Source organism: Homo sapiens, chromosome 16, assembly GCF_000001405.40.
Source record: "Homo sapiens chromosome 16, GRCh38.p14 Primary Assembly".
Lineage (NCBI taxonomy): Eukaryota > Metazoa > Chordata > Mammalia > Primates > Hominidae > Homo > Homo sapiens.
The window spans coordinates 3,582,875-3,600,491 of record NC_000016.10 but is presented as its reverse complement, the minus strand read 5'-3'; the positions used below and the strand labels follow the sequence as shown (position 1 = coordinate 3,600,491).

Sequence of the window (17,617 nt, the reverse complement as noted above, 5' to 3'; positions counted from 1 at the left end):
ACAGAATCTGCATTCTGGAAGGCTCTGGACCTGCCCCTTTAGGGGGGTGCAGAAATGATCTTCGCACTGTTTTCCTCAAGGTCCTTCCTGAGTTTCCAATCCCATGATCCCACAGTCGGTACCCTCTAGTGCAGGGGTCCCCAACCCCCCAGCCTCGGACCAGTACCGGTCTGTGGCCTGTTAGGAACCTGGCCACACAGCAGGAGGTGAGCAGCGGGCAGGCAAGCTTTACTGCCTGAGCTCCGCCTCCTGTCAGATCAGTGGTGGCATTAGACTCACAGGAACACAAACCCTGTTGTGAGCCGCACATGCATGGAATCTAGGTTGAGCTCTCCTTATGAAAATCTAAAGCCTGATGATCTGAGGTGGAATGCTTTGATGCTGAAACCATTCCCCTACTCCTGTCCCATGGAAAAATTGTCTTCCATGAAACCAGTTCCTGGTACCAAAAAGGTTGGGGACTACTGCTTTACCACATCTAAGAATTTGGTAGTCACTTTACTCCATCCATTTCGTTGTTGGACAGCATGGTTTCCACCTCAGCACAGTCCAGTTTTCACACTGTTAACATAAGATTACTCAGCACAGTTCACAGATTTGGTGATTGGCCAGGCACGGTAGCTTACACCTGTAATCTCAATACTTTGGGAGGCCAGGGCGGAAGGATCACTTGAGCCCAGGAGTTCAAGGCCAGCCTGGACTACATAGCAAGACCCATCACTACAAAAAATTAAAAAATTAGCTGGCTGTGGTGCTGCACACCTGTAGTCCCAGCTACGTGGGAGGCTGAGGCGGAAGGATCACTTGAGCCTGGGAGGCCAAGGTTGCAATGAGCTGTGATTGCACCACTGCACTCCAGCCTGGGCGACAGGGCAAGAACCTGTCTTCATAAAACAAACAAAAACAACAACAAAGTTGGTGCAACAGAAGTGTAGGACCCTATTTTTTAAAAATCTTGCATGAATTAATGCTTAAAAGTTAAAATGAGTTGCCTTGCTCACAGCCAGGAAACAAGTCCTCAGCATGCAAACCACAGCCACACAAGTGCCAGAGGGCTGGCCCTGCTCCACGCTGCCCTGCTGCTGAGGACGCTAGAGCTGACACCAGGTTCATAGTGAACAAAGGCATCTTGGACCTTTGACTCCTCCAGGTTTGAGACCGCTGTCAGGAGCAAAGGGAAGGCCAAAGGCGATAGCTGTTTGTCCCGCCCCCTGCTTTGCACACAGGTCATGGGCAGCTGAGCTGGCTCGGGGCTGAGATGGCAGAGGGCAGAGGGGATTCTCTTGGTGGAGGAGCGCATCTGTATTTAGCATGGCAGGGGTGCAAGCCTTGAGGCCTTAGAATAGACGTCATCTAAGCCATTGTTTCTTTCTTGGCAGGACCACGCCAAAAGCACCTGCTCAGATAAAGTATGTCTGCCTTTAGAATACCTCCAAGTACTGAAACTAGATGTATGTGGATCCGTTTAGAAGGTTGTCAGAGTAGAAAACTACAGGAGCTGGATGCCCTCATGGGGTCTTTGAACCCCTCCCTCCCCAAAGGCCAAGCCTGTGGTCATCAGAACGCATGCCCCGGCCAGAGTGCCTCATATTCTTTCCCCACAGCCCAAACCTGGCCTGCTGGGGAGTGAGGAGGGAACACAGTCTGTGTTCCCTTCACAGAAGCAGGGTCCCAGGCTGCCCAGGCAGCTCCTTTCCCTCTGGGAGGCTGTGATTATCCACGTTCCTGGGAAGGTGAACTTGAGCCATCCCTGGCACCCTGGAGAGCATGAGCTTTTGCAAAAGCCAGAGGCATGACTGCATTGCAGGGAAGGTGGGCCCGGTTTGTGCTAAGTTCCTTTGTCACCTCTGCCCTCCTCCTTCTTGCCCAGCTTATTGGGAGTCACCCAGGCAGCCTAGGTTCTCTCCAGCCGGAAACTCCTGTTCATTTCCTCCAAACCAAACGAGCTGCTGCCCGTTGAAAGTGCAGAGTCCCGGGGCGGCTGGTATAATGTTGACCATCGGCAGCCTAAGCTGGGAAGCCCTTCCTTCTGGCCATGGACAGAGGCACTGCCGTGGAGCCCTTGCAGGAGGGAAGGGATCCTTTTCTGCCGGTGTGGCCAGGACCGTGTAAGGAGCATCGGAAGTATTGATGGGTGAAGGTGGTGGGAGTCCAGGGAGCCTGCTCAGAGCCATCGATTGTTGACTCCATTGGATGGGCTTGGCCACATGAGGATGTGCAGGTACCACAGATGGCTCCGTACATCTGCCATGAGCCTGCTGGACAGCAGCACGTGAAGGAACCCAGACCCTCCTGTGCCTGGGCCATGTTGAACTTCTGGCCTGGAATTGAATGAGTTCACACAAGGCAGTGGAAGTGGGGGACGCATCTGCCTGGCAGGTCCACATCCGTCACTTTTCTCTCAGGCCCAGCCCTCTCCAGACCAGTGTGACCAACCTGAGAAGCGTGCACTCCTCTAGCCCCAGTAACTTTTCTCTTTGGCTGTTTTCTAGCTTCAGTGATCACAGTAGAGGTCTGAAACGGAGAGGACCCACCAGCAAGAAGGAGCCACGGAAGAGGCGGAAGGTGGACGAGGCACCGTCCGAGGACCTGCTGGTGGCCATGGCTCTGTCCCGGTCGGAGATGGAGCCGGGTGCGGCTGTACCAGCGCTCAGGCTGGAAAGTGCCTTTTCTGAGAGGATAAGACCAGAAGCAGGTTTGTGTGATCAGAAGAGTGACCCTGGGAGAGGCCATCAGCAGGTCCCGGGTGAGTGGACCGACTCCACCGTTGATGGTGTCGCTTTTGTTTCTCTCTAGAGAATAAAAGTCGCAAGAAGAAACCCCCGGTATCCCCCCCATTGTTGTTAGTCCAGGACTCTGAAACCACAGGCCGACAGATAGAGGACCGTGTGGCCCTGCTCCTCTCTGAGGAAGTGGAATTGTCTAGCACGCCACCACTTCCTGCCAGCAGGATTTTAAAGGAAGGGTGGGAAAGAGCGGGCCAGTGTCCTCCTCCACCTGAACGCAAGCAGAGCTTTCTGTGGGAGGGCAGCGCACTGACTGGGGCCTGGGCCATGGAGGACTTCTACACGGCCAGGCTGGTCCCTCCTCTCGTGCCCCAGCGGCCTGCCCAGGTGAGTCCCTCCCCTCAGGCACATGGATAGGCTTTTGGGGGAGGTTGGCAATCCCAGAACTGCAACACTGGGTACCCACAGCCAGGTGATGGAAAGTCCAGGAAGGAAAGGCAGAGGCGGGAGGAGGCCAGAGGGGCACTTGGTGGCTGCAGCTTTCTTCTCTGTCCAGCAACTACATGGTACTCTGGGTAGGATCAGGGAGGACCCTTGGTGTCCACCAGAGTGTGTTCCTGGAGTTTGTTGAAAATGCAGAGTCCCGGCCGGGCGCAGTGGCTCACGCCCGTAATCCCTGCACTTTGGGAGGCTGAGGTGGGCGGATCACGAGGTCAGGAGTTCGAGACCAGCCTGGCTAATATGGTGAAACCCCATCTCTACTAAGAATACAAAAATTAGCCAGGCATGGTGGCACACACCTGTAATCCCAGTTACTTGGGAGACTGAGGCAGAAGAATCGCTTGAACCGGGGAGGCGGAAGTTGCAGTGAGCCGAGACCGTGCCATTACACTCCAGCCTGGGCAACAAAGTGAGACTCTGTCTTGAAAAAAAAAAAAAAAACAGAGTCCCAGGGCAACTGGCAAAATGCCTCAGATGGAGCCCGGAAACTGGCATTCGGAGCACACACTCCAGACAGTCGTGCGGCAGGTAGCCCTACAGTCAGTACGCAGCTGCCTGAGGCAGCTTGGAGGACTTCAGGAGGGCGGCAGGCCTGGGCCCCCCTGGCCTCTGACAAGCCTTTGTGCAAACAGATGCCACAGGCCTGGCCTTGGCCGTGACAGAGGAGGAGCATGTTGACATGAGTGCTGGGGAAAAGCATCCCAGGACTGCTCCAGGCTGTGGCTGGAGCCCCGGGGACAGTCTGTCCCCACAGCCCACATCCTGCTCTGTAGTTTTAGGTCCAGCCGTGCATACCACATGTGATGGCTTCTGCAGTGTGTGCGTCAATGACAGTGACCACGTGGTCACTCTCCTTACTGGCTTCTTTCAGGGCCTTATGCAGGAGCCCGTGCCGCCTCTGGTGCCACCTGAGCACTCAGAGCTGAGCGAGCGAAGGTCACCCGCTCTCCACGGCACCCCCACTGCAGGCTGTGGCTCCAGGGGCCCGTCGCCTTCGGCCAGCCAGAGGGAGCACCAGGCCCTGCAGGACCTCGTGGACCTGGCGAGGGAGGGACTGAGCGCCAGCCCGTGGCCCGGCAGTGGGGGCCTGGCTGGCTCGGAAGGGACTGCAGGTGAGATGCTGGGTGGGACTCTAGGGCCAGCCCTGCCCTCCCGGGCCTCCCCTCCCCGCGGCTGAGGCTGCCATGGACTGGCTCTTGTGCCGCCGCGACGGCAGCTCTGACCTGGTGGGAGAACACGCAGCCTCTGGGCGCTTTCATTTTTTCTCAAAGGTCAATGTGGTGTAGACAACTCTGTCATGATTTTCCTTCCACTTTAACCAAAGACAGAGCTGTCTGCCCACAGCGAGTGAATCCTCTGGGTGAACTGTCTGTTTTGCTCTTCTCTTACCTCCCTGGTGGAGTGGTGGTGAGACAGGGTGTGCGGGTTTGCTTTGCATGAAGGTGTCCTCGGATAGCAAGCACCTTCCGAGGCACCGCAGGGGCTGGCTCAGCCTGTGGTCAACGCTGTCTTCTTGGTGGTGGATGTGGCTGGGCTGTGACGTTCCTTTAACCTGTGAATCCTCCACTCAGGGTTGGACGTGGTGCCCGGCGGCCTTCCTCTGACTGGGTTTGTGGTGCCATCGCAGGACAAGCACCCGGACAGGGGCGGCCGCACCTTGGTAAGAACTGGCTCTGGCCCGCGCTCTCTGGTCCCGGCCATCCCACTTGCCATGTGTGTGGTGGGGTTGGCTCACCGCTGGCCTCTGGCCCCCAACGCAAGTGCAGTGGCCTCTCAAGGCCTCTGCTTTCCAGAAGGCTGCCACATCCTGACATCCGTGAGCAGAGCCACGGACCCACAGCCACCTCAGCGCCCCTCTGGGGGCTCTGCCACGAGACTTCTGCCTTTTCTGTCTGTGACTCCATGGGGCACCTTGGGGTTGAGGCCCCAGAGCCTGCCCTGTCCTGGGTCCCAGGAGTGTAGAGGGACCACAGTTTCTCAGCGCGGTTGCCCCATCCAGGCACGCTCTGCTCGTTCCTCAGTAGTTGGGAGCTCACCAAGGGCTTGCTCTCCCTCCCCTCTGTGCGGGTCCTGGGCTCCAGAGCACAGCTGAGCAGCCTGGCCTGGCCTCCCTGTCAGTGCGCTGTCTGGGGAAGAACCGGGGTGGGAACTGGCTTTTCCCTAGAGTGGACCTCCTCCCATTTGCATGTCAGTGTCAACCAAGCACTTCATGCCAAGGCCAGCCTAGGGACATCATCACAGACTGGACCCGGCTGTCCTCTTGGCCAGGTCCCCGAGCTGCTTGGACTCAGGGTGCTTGTCCGTCACAGGGGATGGGTGCACCTCCTCAAAGCCCAGGTATCCCGCAGCCTGTCCCACTCAGTGCGGGAGCTGCCAGCACTGTGAGTTCACATCTAGCCCCATGTCTGGCATCTCCACGGGGGCCAGGGAACCCACTGGCAAGAGCCAGAGGAACAAGCTAGTGCTTTGCTCTTCTGTGCTACTCAGGGCCTTAGGGTCACTCAGAGGTTGAGGCCATCGTGGGAAGCGTTTTGGAGAGGAAAGGAGAATGCAGGTCCTGGCTCCCGGCCCACCCTAGCGCCACCTCCATGCGGGGAGCTTCCCACTGCCCAGTTAGCAGAGCAGAGGTGGGGAGGTGACGGCTCTTCCTCTCCTCCTGCTTCAGCTCTCCCTCGGGCTGCTGGTTGCTGACTTTGGCGCCATGGTCAATAACCCACACCTGAGTGATGTCCAGTTTCAGACGGACAGCGGGGAGGTGCTTTACGCCCACAAGTTCGTGCTTTATGCCCGATGCCCGCTCCTCATCCAGTATGTAAGTACGTGGGCTGCCGTGTGCCCTCCTTTCCTCTCTCTCCCTCTCTCCTCCTGCCTTTCTCCAACCAGGTCTTCCCATGTCTCAGGTGCCCTTTCCACCCCCCCACTCTCCCTCACTTCCTGCCCCACCATGTTCTCACCTTCTCCCTCCCAACCATCCGTTTCTGCAACACGTGGAGAAGAGATAAAGACCCACGCTTGAGGTTAGGAGTGGGTGTGAGGGGATGGCCTCACAACTGGGAAACATCAGTGTTTTCGTTCTGTTGAATGAAAATCCATTGTTTGGCCGGGCGCGGTGGCTCACGCCTGTAATTCCAGCACTTTGGGAGGCCGAGGCGGGCAGATCACAAGGTCAGGAGATCAAGACCATCCTAACACAGTGAAACCAGTCTCTACTAAAAATACAAAAAAATTAGCCGGGCATGGTGGCGGGCGCCTGTAGTCCCAGCTACTCGGGAGGCTGAGGCAGGAGAATGGCATGAACCTGGGAGGCGGAGCTTCCAATGAGCTGAGATTGCACCACTGCACTCCAGCCTGGGCGACAGAGCAAGACTCTGTCTCAAAAACAAAACAAAACAAAAAGAAAATCCATTGTTTCCCAGAATTGTTTTCTCTTTTCTCTATTTGCATAATTACAAAGGCTCATAATTGATCTCCTCAGGGATGAGTTGCTGATGAACCTGCCTTCTGACTTGAAAGCATTTGACTTGAGTGTGGGCAGGAACTCAGGGAGCTATTCTCAGTCTTTGTCAAAGTTCTGGATCCCATATGTGTCTATCAGGAGGACTCTTAACGGGGTCCTGGAATATCTAGTCCCAATACGATTTGACAAAAGAGGAGTGTTAGGCCTCACCTGTAAAATTATTGGCCAAAAATCTGCATAAACAGTGGCTAATGCTTTTCCTGGGGCATGGAGCTGCTTTTAAGACTAGGGACCAGGCACGGCGGCTCATGCCTGAGATCCCCGTACTTTGGGAGACTAAGGTGGGAGGATCGCTTGAGGCCAGGAGTTCAAGACCAGCCTGAACAACACAGTGAGAGCCCATCTCTACAAAAAAATTTAAAAATTAGCCTAGGGGCTGGGCGCAGTGGCTCACGCCAGTAATCCCAGCACTTTGGGAGGCCGAGGAGGGTGGATCACCTGAGGTCAGGAGTTCCAAGACCAGCCTGGCCAACATAGTGAAACCTTATCTCTACTGAAACTATAAAAAATTAGCCGGGCATGGTGGTGGGCGGCTGCAATCCCAGCTACTCGGGAGGCTGAGGCAGGAGAATACGCTGGAACCGAGGAGGTGGAGGTTGCAGTGAGCCGAGATCTCACCACTGCACTCCAGCCTGGGCAACAGAGAGAGATTCCAACTCAAAATAATAAAATTAATTAAAATTTAAAATTAGCCTAGGAGTTCAAGGCTGCAGTAAGCCATGATCACACCACTGTACTCTAGCCTGGGTGACAAGGGGAGACACTGTCTCTAAAAAGAAAAATAAAAAGACTAGTGACTTGCAGGACACCCCAGACCGTCTGCTTTGCTCCAAGTTACAACTCTCTGATCAGTAAACCCTCTGTGTTGCATTTCACCTGCAGGTGAACAATGAAGGCTTCTCCGCTGTAGAGGACGGGGTTCTGACCCAGCGTGTCCTGCTGGGTGACGTGAGCACCGAGGCCGCCCGCACGTTCCTGCACTATCTCTACACTGCGGACACTGGCCTTCCTCCTGGCCTTAGCTCTGAGCTGAGCTCCCTGGCCCACAGGTCTGGATTGCTCCCCAGCTTTTGAAATTAACTGACGAGGACTGGCAGGTTAACAGCTCTGGAGGGTTGTGCTGCAGAGGGCTCGGGGCTGAGGCCAAGAGAACTAACAGTCCTGTTTATACCTTTTAATCCCAAGTCCATGACCAGTGATGACCCTGTGGAACAGGGCATGTTAGGTGAAAGTCAGGCCAGAACAGACCCTTGCAGGGGTGCCAAGCACTGGATCAGGAGGACTCTATTGAGTCCCGTGGTTTTTAACCCCCTAGGTGTGATAAGAGAATGGCCCTTGGCTACAGCGCCCCCCAACACTGCTGCTCAGTGATTGTTCCACCACTAGACCTGAACAACAGCAGTCCTTTCCAGAGTCCCATAAAACAGGCATGGAGAGAATGCTTAGGCTGCATCCCAGATGCCACAGCTCTCCTGGCTTGTCCAGCCAGCATCTTAGGAGAGAGGCAGCAGCTCAGAGGGACAAGTGTTGTGCCTCTGGACAGGGCCTGGGCCGCTGATCCGAGCCTGCGTCCTCCCTCCGCTGCTTTCTTAGGAAAGGAACAGCTCAGCCTCTGGAGTTGGAAATATACTGACGGGCCACAGAGCCTTCAAGCAGGTGGCTGGCTGGCTTGCCCGTTGGCCTGGGCTGACTCAAGGACTTGGTGTGCTGTGGATTGTGTCTGATGCCATGTCTTTTCATTTATTTTTTATTTTTTGGAGAGACGGAGTGTCGCTGTGTTGCCCAGGCTGTTCTTGAACTCCTGACCTCAAGCAATCCTCCTGCCTCCGCCTCCCAAAGTGCTGGGATTATGGGCATGAGCCACCATGCATGACCTTTTTTATCCTTTTAGAGACAGAGTCTCTTGCTGTTGCCCAGGCTGGATGGCAGTGGCATGATCACAGCTCACTGTAGCCTTGAACTCCTAGGCTAATTTTTACATTTTTTTGTAGAGATGGAGACTTTCTATGTTGTCCAGGCTGATCTCAAACTCCCGGCCTTGAGTGATCCTCGGCTTCCCAAAGTGCTGGAATTTCAGGCATGAGCCACAATGCCTGGCTCTGACACCATATCTTAAGAGCCTCTGAGGCAGCACAGACTCCCCAGTTTTGTAGCTCTGCCAATCCCTGTTACCTTACATTCAGTCCGACACACCCCTTTATGTCTGCAGCTATAGTTAGGAAGCCCTGCTTTAAGTGTTGTCAGTCCCCGGTTTCTGGAACTAAGTGGCCTGGGTGTTTCTGGCAAGGAGTGTGGACACCGTCTTCAAAGGGAAGCAGGGCCTGGGTCATGGTCATTCCTCCTGGTGAAGACTCTGCTCTGGTCCGCCACCCCACCGGGGCACCCAGAGCCCATCTCCACGCAGAGGGGCGATGACTGTCGATGTTTCGTGTTGCAGGTTTGGCGTGAGTGAGCTCGTTCACCTGTGCGAACAGGTGCCTATTGCCACTGACTCAGAGGGCAAACCATGGGAGGAGAAGGAAGCAGAGAATTGCGAAAGCAGGGCCGAGAATTTCCAGGAACTCTTGAGGTCAATGTGGGCAGATGAAGAGGAGGAAGCGGAGACTTTGTTGAAATCCAAGGACCACGAAGAAGATCAAGAAAACGTGAATGAAGCAGAAATGGAAGAAATTTATGAATTTGCAGCTACTCAGCGAAAGCTTCTCCAGGAAGAAAGGGCAGCGGGTGCCGGCGAGGACGCTGACTGGCTGGAGGGTGGCAGTCCGGTTTCTGGGCAACTCCTAGCAGGTGTCCAGGTGCAGAAACAGTGGGACAAGGTGGAGGAGATGGAGCCGTTGGAGCCAGGAAGAGATGAGGCCGCCACCACCTGGGAGAAGATGGGACAGTGCGCTCTCCCGCCACCCCAGGGCCAGCACTCAGGGGCACGGGGAGCAGAGGCCCCTGAGCAGGAGGCGCCAGAGGAGGCGCTTGGCCATTCCAGCTGCTCCAGCCCTTCCAGGGACTGCCAGGCAGAGAGAAAAGAAGGCTCTCTTCCGCACTCAGATGATGCCGGGGATTACGAACAGCTCTTCTCATCAACTCAGGGAGAGATCTCAGAGCCGTCCCAAATAACAAGTGAGCCCGAGGAACAAAGTGGCGCTGTCAGGGAAAGGGGGCTGGAGGTTTCTCATCGCCTGGCTCCCTGGCAGGCATCTCCACCGCACCCGTGCCGCTTCCTATTGGGGCCTCCCCAGGGCGGGAGTCCCCGCGGGTCTCATCACACAAGTGGGTCGTCCCTGTCAACACCCCGGTCCCGTGGCGGAACTTCCCAGGTGGGCTCCCCAACCTTGCTGTCTCCAGCTGTGCCATCAAAGCAGAAAAGGGACAGGAGCATCCTCACGCTGTCTAAAGAGCCAGGGCACCAGAAAGGCAAAGAGCGTCGGTCCGTGCTGGAGTGCAGAAATAAGGGGGTCCTGATGTTCCCAGAAAAATCTCCGTCTATTGACCTAACCCAGTCAAATCCTGACCATTCGAGCTCCAGATCTCAGAAATCTTCATCCAAACTGAACGAAGAAGATGAGGTCATCCTCTTACTGGACTCGGATGAGGAGCTGGAGCTAGAACAAACCAAAATGAAGTCCATTTCTAGTGATCCTCTGGAAGAAAAGAAAGCTCTAGAAATTAGCCCTAGGTCCTGTGAGCTGTTTTCCATCATTGATGTTGATGCAGATCAGGAACCTTCCCAGAGCCCACCAAGAAGCGAAGCTGTGCTGCAGCAGGAGGATGAGGGGGCGCTGCCGGAGAATCGGGGCTCTTTGGGCAGGAGAGGGGCTCCCTGGCTGTTCTGTGACCGTGAGAGCAGCCCCAGCGAGGCCAGCACCACAGACACCTCGTGGCTGGTGCCCGCCACCCCGCTGGCCAGCAGAAGCCGTGACTGTTCTTCCCAGACCCAAATCAGCAGCCTCAGGAGCGGGCTGGCCGTGCAGGCGGTGACTCAGCACACGCCCAGGGCCTCAGTAGGAAACAGGGAAGGGAACGAAGTCGCACAGAAGTTTTCTGTCATCAGGCCCCAGACACCACCGCCCCAGACACCGTCCTCATGCCTCACTCCCGTCTCTCCAGGAACTTCTGACGGCAGAAGGCAAGGCCACAGAAGCCCTTCCCGTCCCCACCCCGGGGGCCACCCGCACTCCTCTCCGCTGGCTCCACATCCCATCTCAGGGGACCGCGCCCACTTCAGCAGGCGGTTCCTGAAACACTCGCCGCCTGGGCCAAGCTTCCTGAACCAGACCCCAGCGGGTGAAGTGGTGGAAGTCGGAGACAGTGACGATGAGCAGGAGGTGGCCTCCCATCAGGCCAACAGAAGCCCCCCACTGGACAGTGACCCCCCAATTCCAATTGACGACTGCTGCTGGCACATGGAGCCCCTCTCGCCAATTCCCATTGACCACTGGAACCTGGAGCGGACCGGCCCCCTGAGCACCAGCAGCCCCAGCCGCAGGATGAACGAGGCCGCCGACAGCCGTGACTGTCGCTCCCCGGGACTCCTGGACACCACCCCCATCCGAGGAAGCTGCACTACCCAGAGGAAATTGCAAGAGAAGTCCTCGGGCGCGGGCTCCCTGGGGAATAGCAGGCCGAGCTTTCTGAATTCGGCTCTGTGGGACGTTTGGGACGGGGAAGAGCAGAGGCCTCCAGAGACCCCTCCTCCGGCCCAGATGCCAAGCGCTGGTGGAGCTCAGAAGCCCGAAGGGTTAGAGACACCCAGTGAGTAGCCAGGAGAGCTGGGGAAGGGGACTGTCTTTGTTACTATTTTACACTAAGAGGGTGGGAAGATCAGTCATGAGACCCAGGGGCTGCCCTCTGAATGCCTGCTGACCTGAGGCATGACACTTCCGCTGCCTTCCAGACTCCCCTCCACAGTGGAGGAGAGCCGGGCTGGTTCTCATGCTACACTTCTCAGCCAGTAAGTCAGTGTTTCCCAAACTTGCCTGGCTCCAGTGCTCACCTGGGCATGTGTTAAAAATCCACATCTGTGGACCCTTCTCCAGAACACGGAGCCGGCACCTCCAAAGGCCACAACTCATTCAGCAAGTATCGGCATGCCTTAAGATTGGACCAGGGTGGTTCTCCAGAATGTTAACCGTAGATTGACTGCAGGACCCAGCAATTCCACTTTTACCTGTATATCCAAAAGAATTAAAAACAGGGACTCAGACATGCATGTTCATAGAAGCGCTGTTCACAATCGCCAAAAGCTGGAAGCAACCCAAATGCCCGTCAGGAGATGAACAGGGAAACCAAACGTGGTCCATCTAGACCACTAGAAAATGGAATAGTGTTCAGCCACAAAGAGGAGTGAGGCACTGCCACACGCTACCGCGTGGACGACCCAGAAAACATGCTGCCGGGTGAGAGAAGCCAGACATAGAAGGTCATGTACTGTCTGCACTCATGGATATGAAATGTCTAGAATAGGCAAATCCAGAGAAAATGCAGGTTAGTGGTTGGCCTGGGTTGGAGGGAGGGGGAATGGGGAGTGACTGCTTATGGGATACAGGGTGTCCTTTTGGGGTGGTGAAAATGTTTTGCAAATAGATAGAGGTGATGGTTGTACAACATTGTGAATACTTAATGCCACTGAATTATTCCCTTTACGATTTTTTTATGTGAATTTCACCTCAATTAAAAAAAGAATCAGGTGGGACAAGTGTGAGAGGCTGTTAGGCCTGTTCTTCCTGGTCCTCCCAGGTGCAGGGATGCCACCTCCCTGCTCATTTCAGTCCCCGGGGAGAGTCAGAGCCCCAGGTGTCGGCCCCCTCGGTGCTGCTGCTCCCATCCAGGCACCTCCGGGGAGGGCAAGGACAGGCCGGGCTGGGCTGAGCATGACTGGGAGAAAGGCCAGGCTGTGAGTGAGCACCTGCCTGCGGCCTGGGGGCCCATTTCCTCCCAAAATCCAGATGAATGAGGCCACTGATAGTGTCCTCGGCCCTCAGGGGCTTCAGAAACACCTGGAGAGCTTCTTATAGCACGCCCGTGGCCCAGCCTGCCCCAGAGCCTTGCTTCGGGAGGGTGACTAAGAATTTGCATTTCTAACCAGTTCCCAGGCAGTGCTGTGAGAACAGCTGCAGGAGGCTGCACAGCAGATCTGAGGTGGGCTTCAGGACGACGCTGCGGCCACAGGAAGAATCGTGCTTTTCTCAGGAGACAGAGCCTGCCGCTTTCATCGGGGGCTCAAAGGGCTCCATGGTCATAAAAGGCAGAAGAACCAAAGTCTGACTGTTTCCAATGTGTCACCAGGCTGGAGTGCAGTGGGGCTATCTCGGCTCACTGCAACCTCCACCTCTCGGGTTCAAGGGATTCTCCTGCCTCAGCCTCCCGAGTAGCTGGGATTACAGGCACCCAGCACCACGCCCAGCTAATTTTTGTATTTTTAGTAGAGTCGGGTTTCACCATGTTGATCAGGCTGGTCTTGAGCTGCTGACCTCAGGTGATCCGCCCACCTCGGCCTCCCAAAGTGCTGGGATTACAGGCGTGAGCCACCTCGCCCAGCCTATTATTTTTTAAAGTAACAGCTTTATTTAGATATAATTCACATACCATAATATCCACCCTTTTAAAATGGACAGTTCAGTGCTTCTCAGTACATTCACAGTGTTGTACAATTGTCCCCACTCTCTAATTCTAGAACATTTTCATCATCTCAAAAATCCTGTACCCATGAGCAGTCTCTCACCTTCCCCTTCCCCCAGCCCTGGCAACCAAGAACCTTTCTGTCTCTATGGATTTGCCTGTCCTGGACATTTCATATAAACAGAGCCATATATAACTAATATGTGGCCTTTTGTGTCTGTGTCTGGCTTCTTTCAGTTAGCATACAGTTTTCAAGATTCATACATGTTGTAGCATGGATCAGTATTTTATTCCTTTTTATTCTTTTTTTTTTTTTTTGAGACGGAGCCTCTCTCTGTTGCCCAGGCTAGAGTGCAGTGGCACGATCTCGGCTCACTGCAACCTCCACCTCCTGGGTCCAAGCGATTCTCCCGCCTCAGCCTCCCGAGTAGCTGGGATTACAAGCGCCCATCGCCATGCCATGCCCGGCTAATTTTTTTGTATTTTTAGTACAGATGGGGTTTCACCATGTTGGCCAAGCTGGTCTCGAACTCCTAACCTCAAGTGATCCACCCACTTTGGTCTCCCACAGTGCTGGGATTACAAGCCTGAGCCACTGTGCCTGGCCTGTTTTTGAGTCAGGGGTCTTGCTCTGTCACCCAGGCTGAAGTGCAGTGGCGCAATTACAGCTCATTGTAGCCTCGACCTCCCAGGCTCAAGTGATCCTCCCACCTCAACCTCCTGAGTAGCTGGGACTACAGGCAGCTGCCACCATGCCCAGCTAATTTTTTTTTTTTAGTAGAGACTGGGTCTTGCTATGTTGCCCTGGCTTTGGGCATACATTCCTTTGTATGTCTAATACCCCACTGATGGTATGCCACATTTTGCTTATCCATTCATCTACTAGTGGACACACGGGTTGTTTTTAATTTGTGGTTATTAATAATGCCACTTAGGAATATTGATGTGCAAGTTTTCGTGTAGACATGTTTTCCTTCTTCTTGGTTCTGTACTTAGGAGTGGAATTGCTGGGTCATATGGCAACTGTGTTTAGCATTGTGAGGAACTGCGAGACTGTTTTCCAAAGTGACTGCACCATTTTAAATCTCCACCAACACTTGTTATTCTGTTTTTGTTGTTGTTGTTATTGTTTTGAGACAAGGTCTTGCTCTGTCGCCCAGGCTGGAGTGCAGTGGCGTGTTCATGGCTTGCTGCAGCCTCAACCTTCCTGGCTCAGGTGATCCTCCCACCTCAGCCTCCCGAGTAGCTGGAACCAGCCACAAACAGCTGCCCACATTGGTGACTTGGGCCACCACACCCTGCTAACTTTTTTTGTATTTTTTTTTTTTTTTTTTTGTAGAGATAGGGTTCTGCCATTTTGCCCAAACCCTCTGTGTTTTTTGTTATGGCCATCCTAGTGGGCGTGCAGTGGTATCTCACTGTGGTTTTGACTTGCATTTCCCTGATGACTAATGATGTCGGGCACCTTTTCATGTGCTTATTGGCCATTTGTAGATCTTCTCTGGAGAAATGTCTGTTCACATCCTTTGCCCTTTTTTTTTTTTTTTTTTGAGACAGAGTCTTGCTCTGTCGCCCAGGCTGGAGTGCAGTGGTGTGATCTCGGCTCACTGCAAGCTCCGCCTCCCAGGTTCACGCCATTCTCCTGCCTCAGCCTCCCAAGCAGCTGGGACTACAGGCGCCCGCCACCACGCCCAGCTAATTTTTTGTATTTTTAATAGAGACGGGGTTTCACCGTGTTAGCCAGGATGGTCTCGATCTCCTGACCTCGTGATCCGCCCACCTCGGCCTCCCAAAGTGCTGGGATTACAGGCGTGAGCCACCGCGCCCGGCCCCTTTGCCCATTTTTTAACTGGGTTTTTTTAAATTGATGAATTATTTTTAAAAAGCAAAACTGATGTCTAAGCCTGTTTGAAGAGTATCAGTGTGGCCCATTGTCTCAAGTTGTCACTGTGGGTCAGATATTTTTAAGTTTACATGCATAAGTTTTAGTCACGTGCCGGGCTGTTGGGTTCAGTGGCCCCAGGAGCTCTGTTCACCCGGCACCCGTGTTATACAAGGTGTGGTCCTCAGTGCGTGTCACCGATGCTATCATTGGGAAGCCCCTGCTCCAGACAGGGAAGGGGTGACCACTGTTGCTTTCATGGAGCAAAACGATGCTTGGGTTATCTTCAAGTGCATTATTCCTCTTGGTCACGCTACTGGGATCAGATGTGGGAAATCCGTGTCCCTCATGCTAAAACGTGTGCTTCTTTTGTTTTACCCAGAAGGTGCTAATCGGAAGAAGAACTTGCCCCCCAAAGTGCCCATAACGCCGATGCCACAGTATTCCATTATGGAGACGCCGGTGCTGAAGAAGGAACTGGATAGGTTGGCGGTCTTCAAAGCTTGTTGCCCACAGTGGTCTTTTCCCTCCCATAAGTAACTGGGTTTCACACACCTGGGGGCGGAAGGGCCCCCCGTGTGGTCTCTGGGTCTGGTGGATGCAGCTGGCCTGGGCTTGGGAAGAAAGGTCTGCAGTCAGCTCCTTAGGGAGCATGTGTGACTGCTGGGTGCCGGGGTGAGCCTCCCAGTTCTCTCTGCGTACCATTCCCCAGGGAGGCAACACACAGGATTCGTGCATGTCACCCCTGGGCAGCAGGTCCCCATATTCCATGTAGATGGAAATGGCCCCCTAGCCAGAGCAGTCTGAGTGAGGAGGTCTGATTTTTTTTTTGAAAGACAGAGTCTTGCTCTGTCGCCCAGGCTGGAGTGCAGTGGCGCAGTCCCGGCTCACTGCAACCTCCACCTCCCGGGTTCAAGCGATTCTCCTGACTCAGCCTCCCGAGTAGCTGGGACTACAGGCACACGCCACCACACCAGGCTAATTGTTGTATTTTTAGTAGAGACGGGGTTTCACCATGTTGGCCAGGCTGGTCTCGAACTCCTGACCACGTGATCCACCCGCCTCGGCTTCCCAAAATGCTGGGATTACAGGCGTGAGCCACTGTGCCCGGCGGAGGCCTGATTTTTTTTAAAAGAACATTTAACTCTCACATCCACATGACACTGCTCTTCCACTCGGGCACCCGGGGAAGCTGCTGCTGCCACCATCCCTCAGAACTGGGAGCAGCATATCTTTTGTTTATTTTTTATTTTTGGAGACAGGATCTCACTCTGTTGCCCAGGCTGGAGTAGAGTGATGTGATCTTGGCTCACTGTAGCCTCAGCCTCCCGGGCTTAAGCGATCCTACCTCATCCTCCCTAGTAGCTGGGACTACAGGTGACACCACCACGCCTGGCTAATTTTTGTATTTTTTGTAGAGGCGGGGTCTTGCTATGTTGCCCAGGCTGGCCTTGAACTCCTGAGCTCAAACTGTCCTCCTGCCTCAGCCTCCCAAAGTGCTGGGATTGTAGGCGTGAGCCATTGTGCCTGGCTGGCAATGTTTCTTTTGGAATATTCAGAGTAAGCTTAGTTGGCGCCTAGAATAGACACTAACCTCTGATGCTCACAGAAGTCAGGCATCTATGGTTTGTCACACAAGCCATTCGCTGAATGCATTGGGTATCACTCTTTGCTAAGATAGGGAACGTGGAGTGTGGACCAGCTGTGTGGGTGGGTCCTGAGATCCACCTGTTCCTCCGTCAGGTTTGGAGTCCGCCCTCTGCCTAAACGCCAGATGGTTCTGAAGCTGAAGGAGATATTCCAGTACACTCACCAGACCCTGGACTCAGACTCCGAGGACGAGAGCCAGTCCTCACAGCCGCTGTTGCAGGCGCCTCACTGCCAGACCCTCGCCTCCCAGACCTACAAGCCTTCAAGGGCAGGGGTCCATGCCCAGCAGGAGGCCACCACAGGACCTGGGGCCCATAGGCCCAAGGGACCTGCTAAGACCAAGGGCCCCCGACATCAAAGGAAGCATCATGAAAGCATCACACCCCCAAGCAGGTCGCCCACCAAGGAGGCACCTCCAGGCCTCAATGATGACGCCCAGATCCCAGCCTCTCAAGAATCCGTGGCCACCTCTGTGGATGGCAGTGACAGCTCCTTGAGCTCACAGAGGTAACCGGATGGATGCGATGGGGTCAGTGGCCTCATGTATCCTCTGGCCCGTGGGCGTGAGGGTTGGCACGAGTGAGACCTAATGGCCAATCTTCAAAAACCCCCGTCACCTTCTGGGTTTGACCTGTGGGAAAACCAGGTGGGTTTAGGGGGCTGGTTCCCTGACCCCAGCCCTGCGCAGGCCTCCTGGTTCCTGCCCCACATGCTAGACATTTCTGGCTG

The 17,617-nt window shown here is 54.7% G+C and overlaps 1 protein-coding gene across 5 annotated transcripts in view, besides 2 other annotated features; it reads left to right on the top strand.

The window, feature by feature from the left end:
- SLX4 (SLX4 structure-specific endonuclease subunit) overlaps positions 1-17,617 on the top strand; it is a 30,426-nt gene that overhangs the window by 11,115 nt on the left and 1,694 nt on the right. For 2 of the 5 annotated variants that reach the window (NM_032444.4, XM_024450471.2), the window contains exons 6-14: positions 2,493-2,695; positions 2,797-3,113; positions 4,099-4,339; positions 4,799-4,887; positions 5,893-6,039; positions 7,627-7,793; positions 9,182-11,490; positions 15,621-15,723; positions 16,982-17,395. In NM_032444.4, the coding sequence (NP_115820.2) occupies positions 2,493-2,695; positions 2,797-3,113; positions 4,099-4,339; positions 4,799-4,887; positions 5,893-6,039; positions 7,627-7,793; positions 9,182-11,490; positions 15,621-15,723; positions 16,982-17,395 (3,990 nt within the window). Of the gene's footprint in view, positions 1-1,003; positions 2,696-2,796; positions 3,114-4,098; positions 4,340-4,798; positions 4,888-5,892; positions 6,040-7,626; positions 7,794-9,181; positions 12,223-12,823; positions 13,557-15,620; positions 15,724-16,981; positions 17,396-17,617 lie in introns of those variants that run through there. The other 3 variants (XM_011522715.4, XM_047434801.1, XR_007064923.1) reach the window with 3 other exon arrangements.
- Positions 10,249-10,995: an enhancer, noted in NCBI's record as "H3K4me1 hESC enhancer chr16:3639498-3640244 (GRCh37/hg19 assembly coordinates)". NCBI's record gives its function as "activates a minimal SCP1, AML or CMV promoter by ChIP-STARR-seq in primed H9 embryonic stem cells {active_cell/tissue: H9 hESC(primed)}" and the evidence as "EXISTENCE:reporter gene assay evidence [ECO:0000049][PMID:30033119]".
- Positions 13,015-13,084: an enhancer, noted in NCBI's record as "active region_10329". NCBI's record gives its function as "activates an Ori minimal core promoter by ATAC-STARR-seq in GM12878 lymphoblastoid cells {active_cell/tissue: GM12878}" and the evidence as "EXISTENCE:reporter gene assay evidence [ECO:0000049][PMID:35858748]".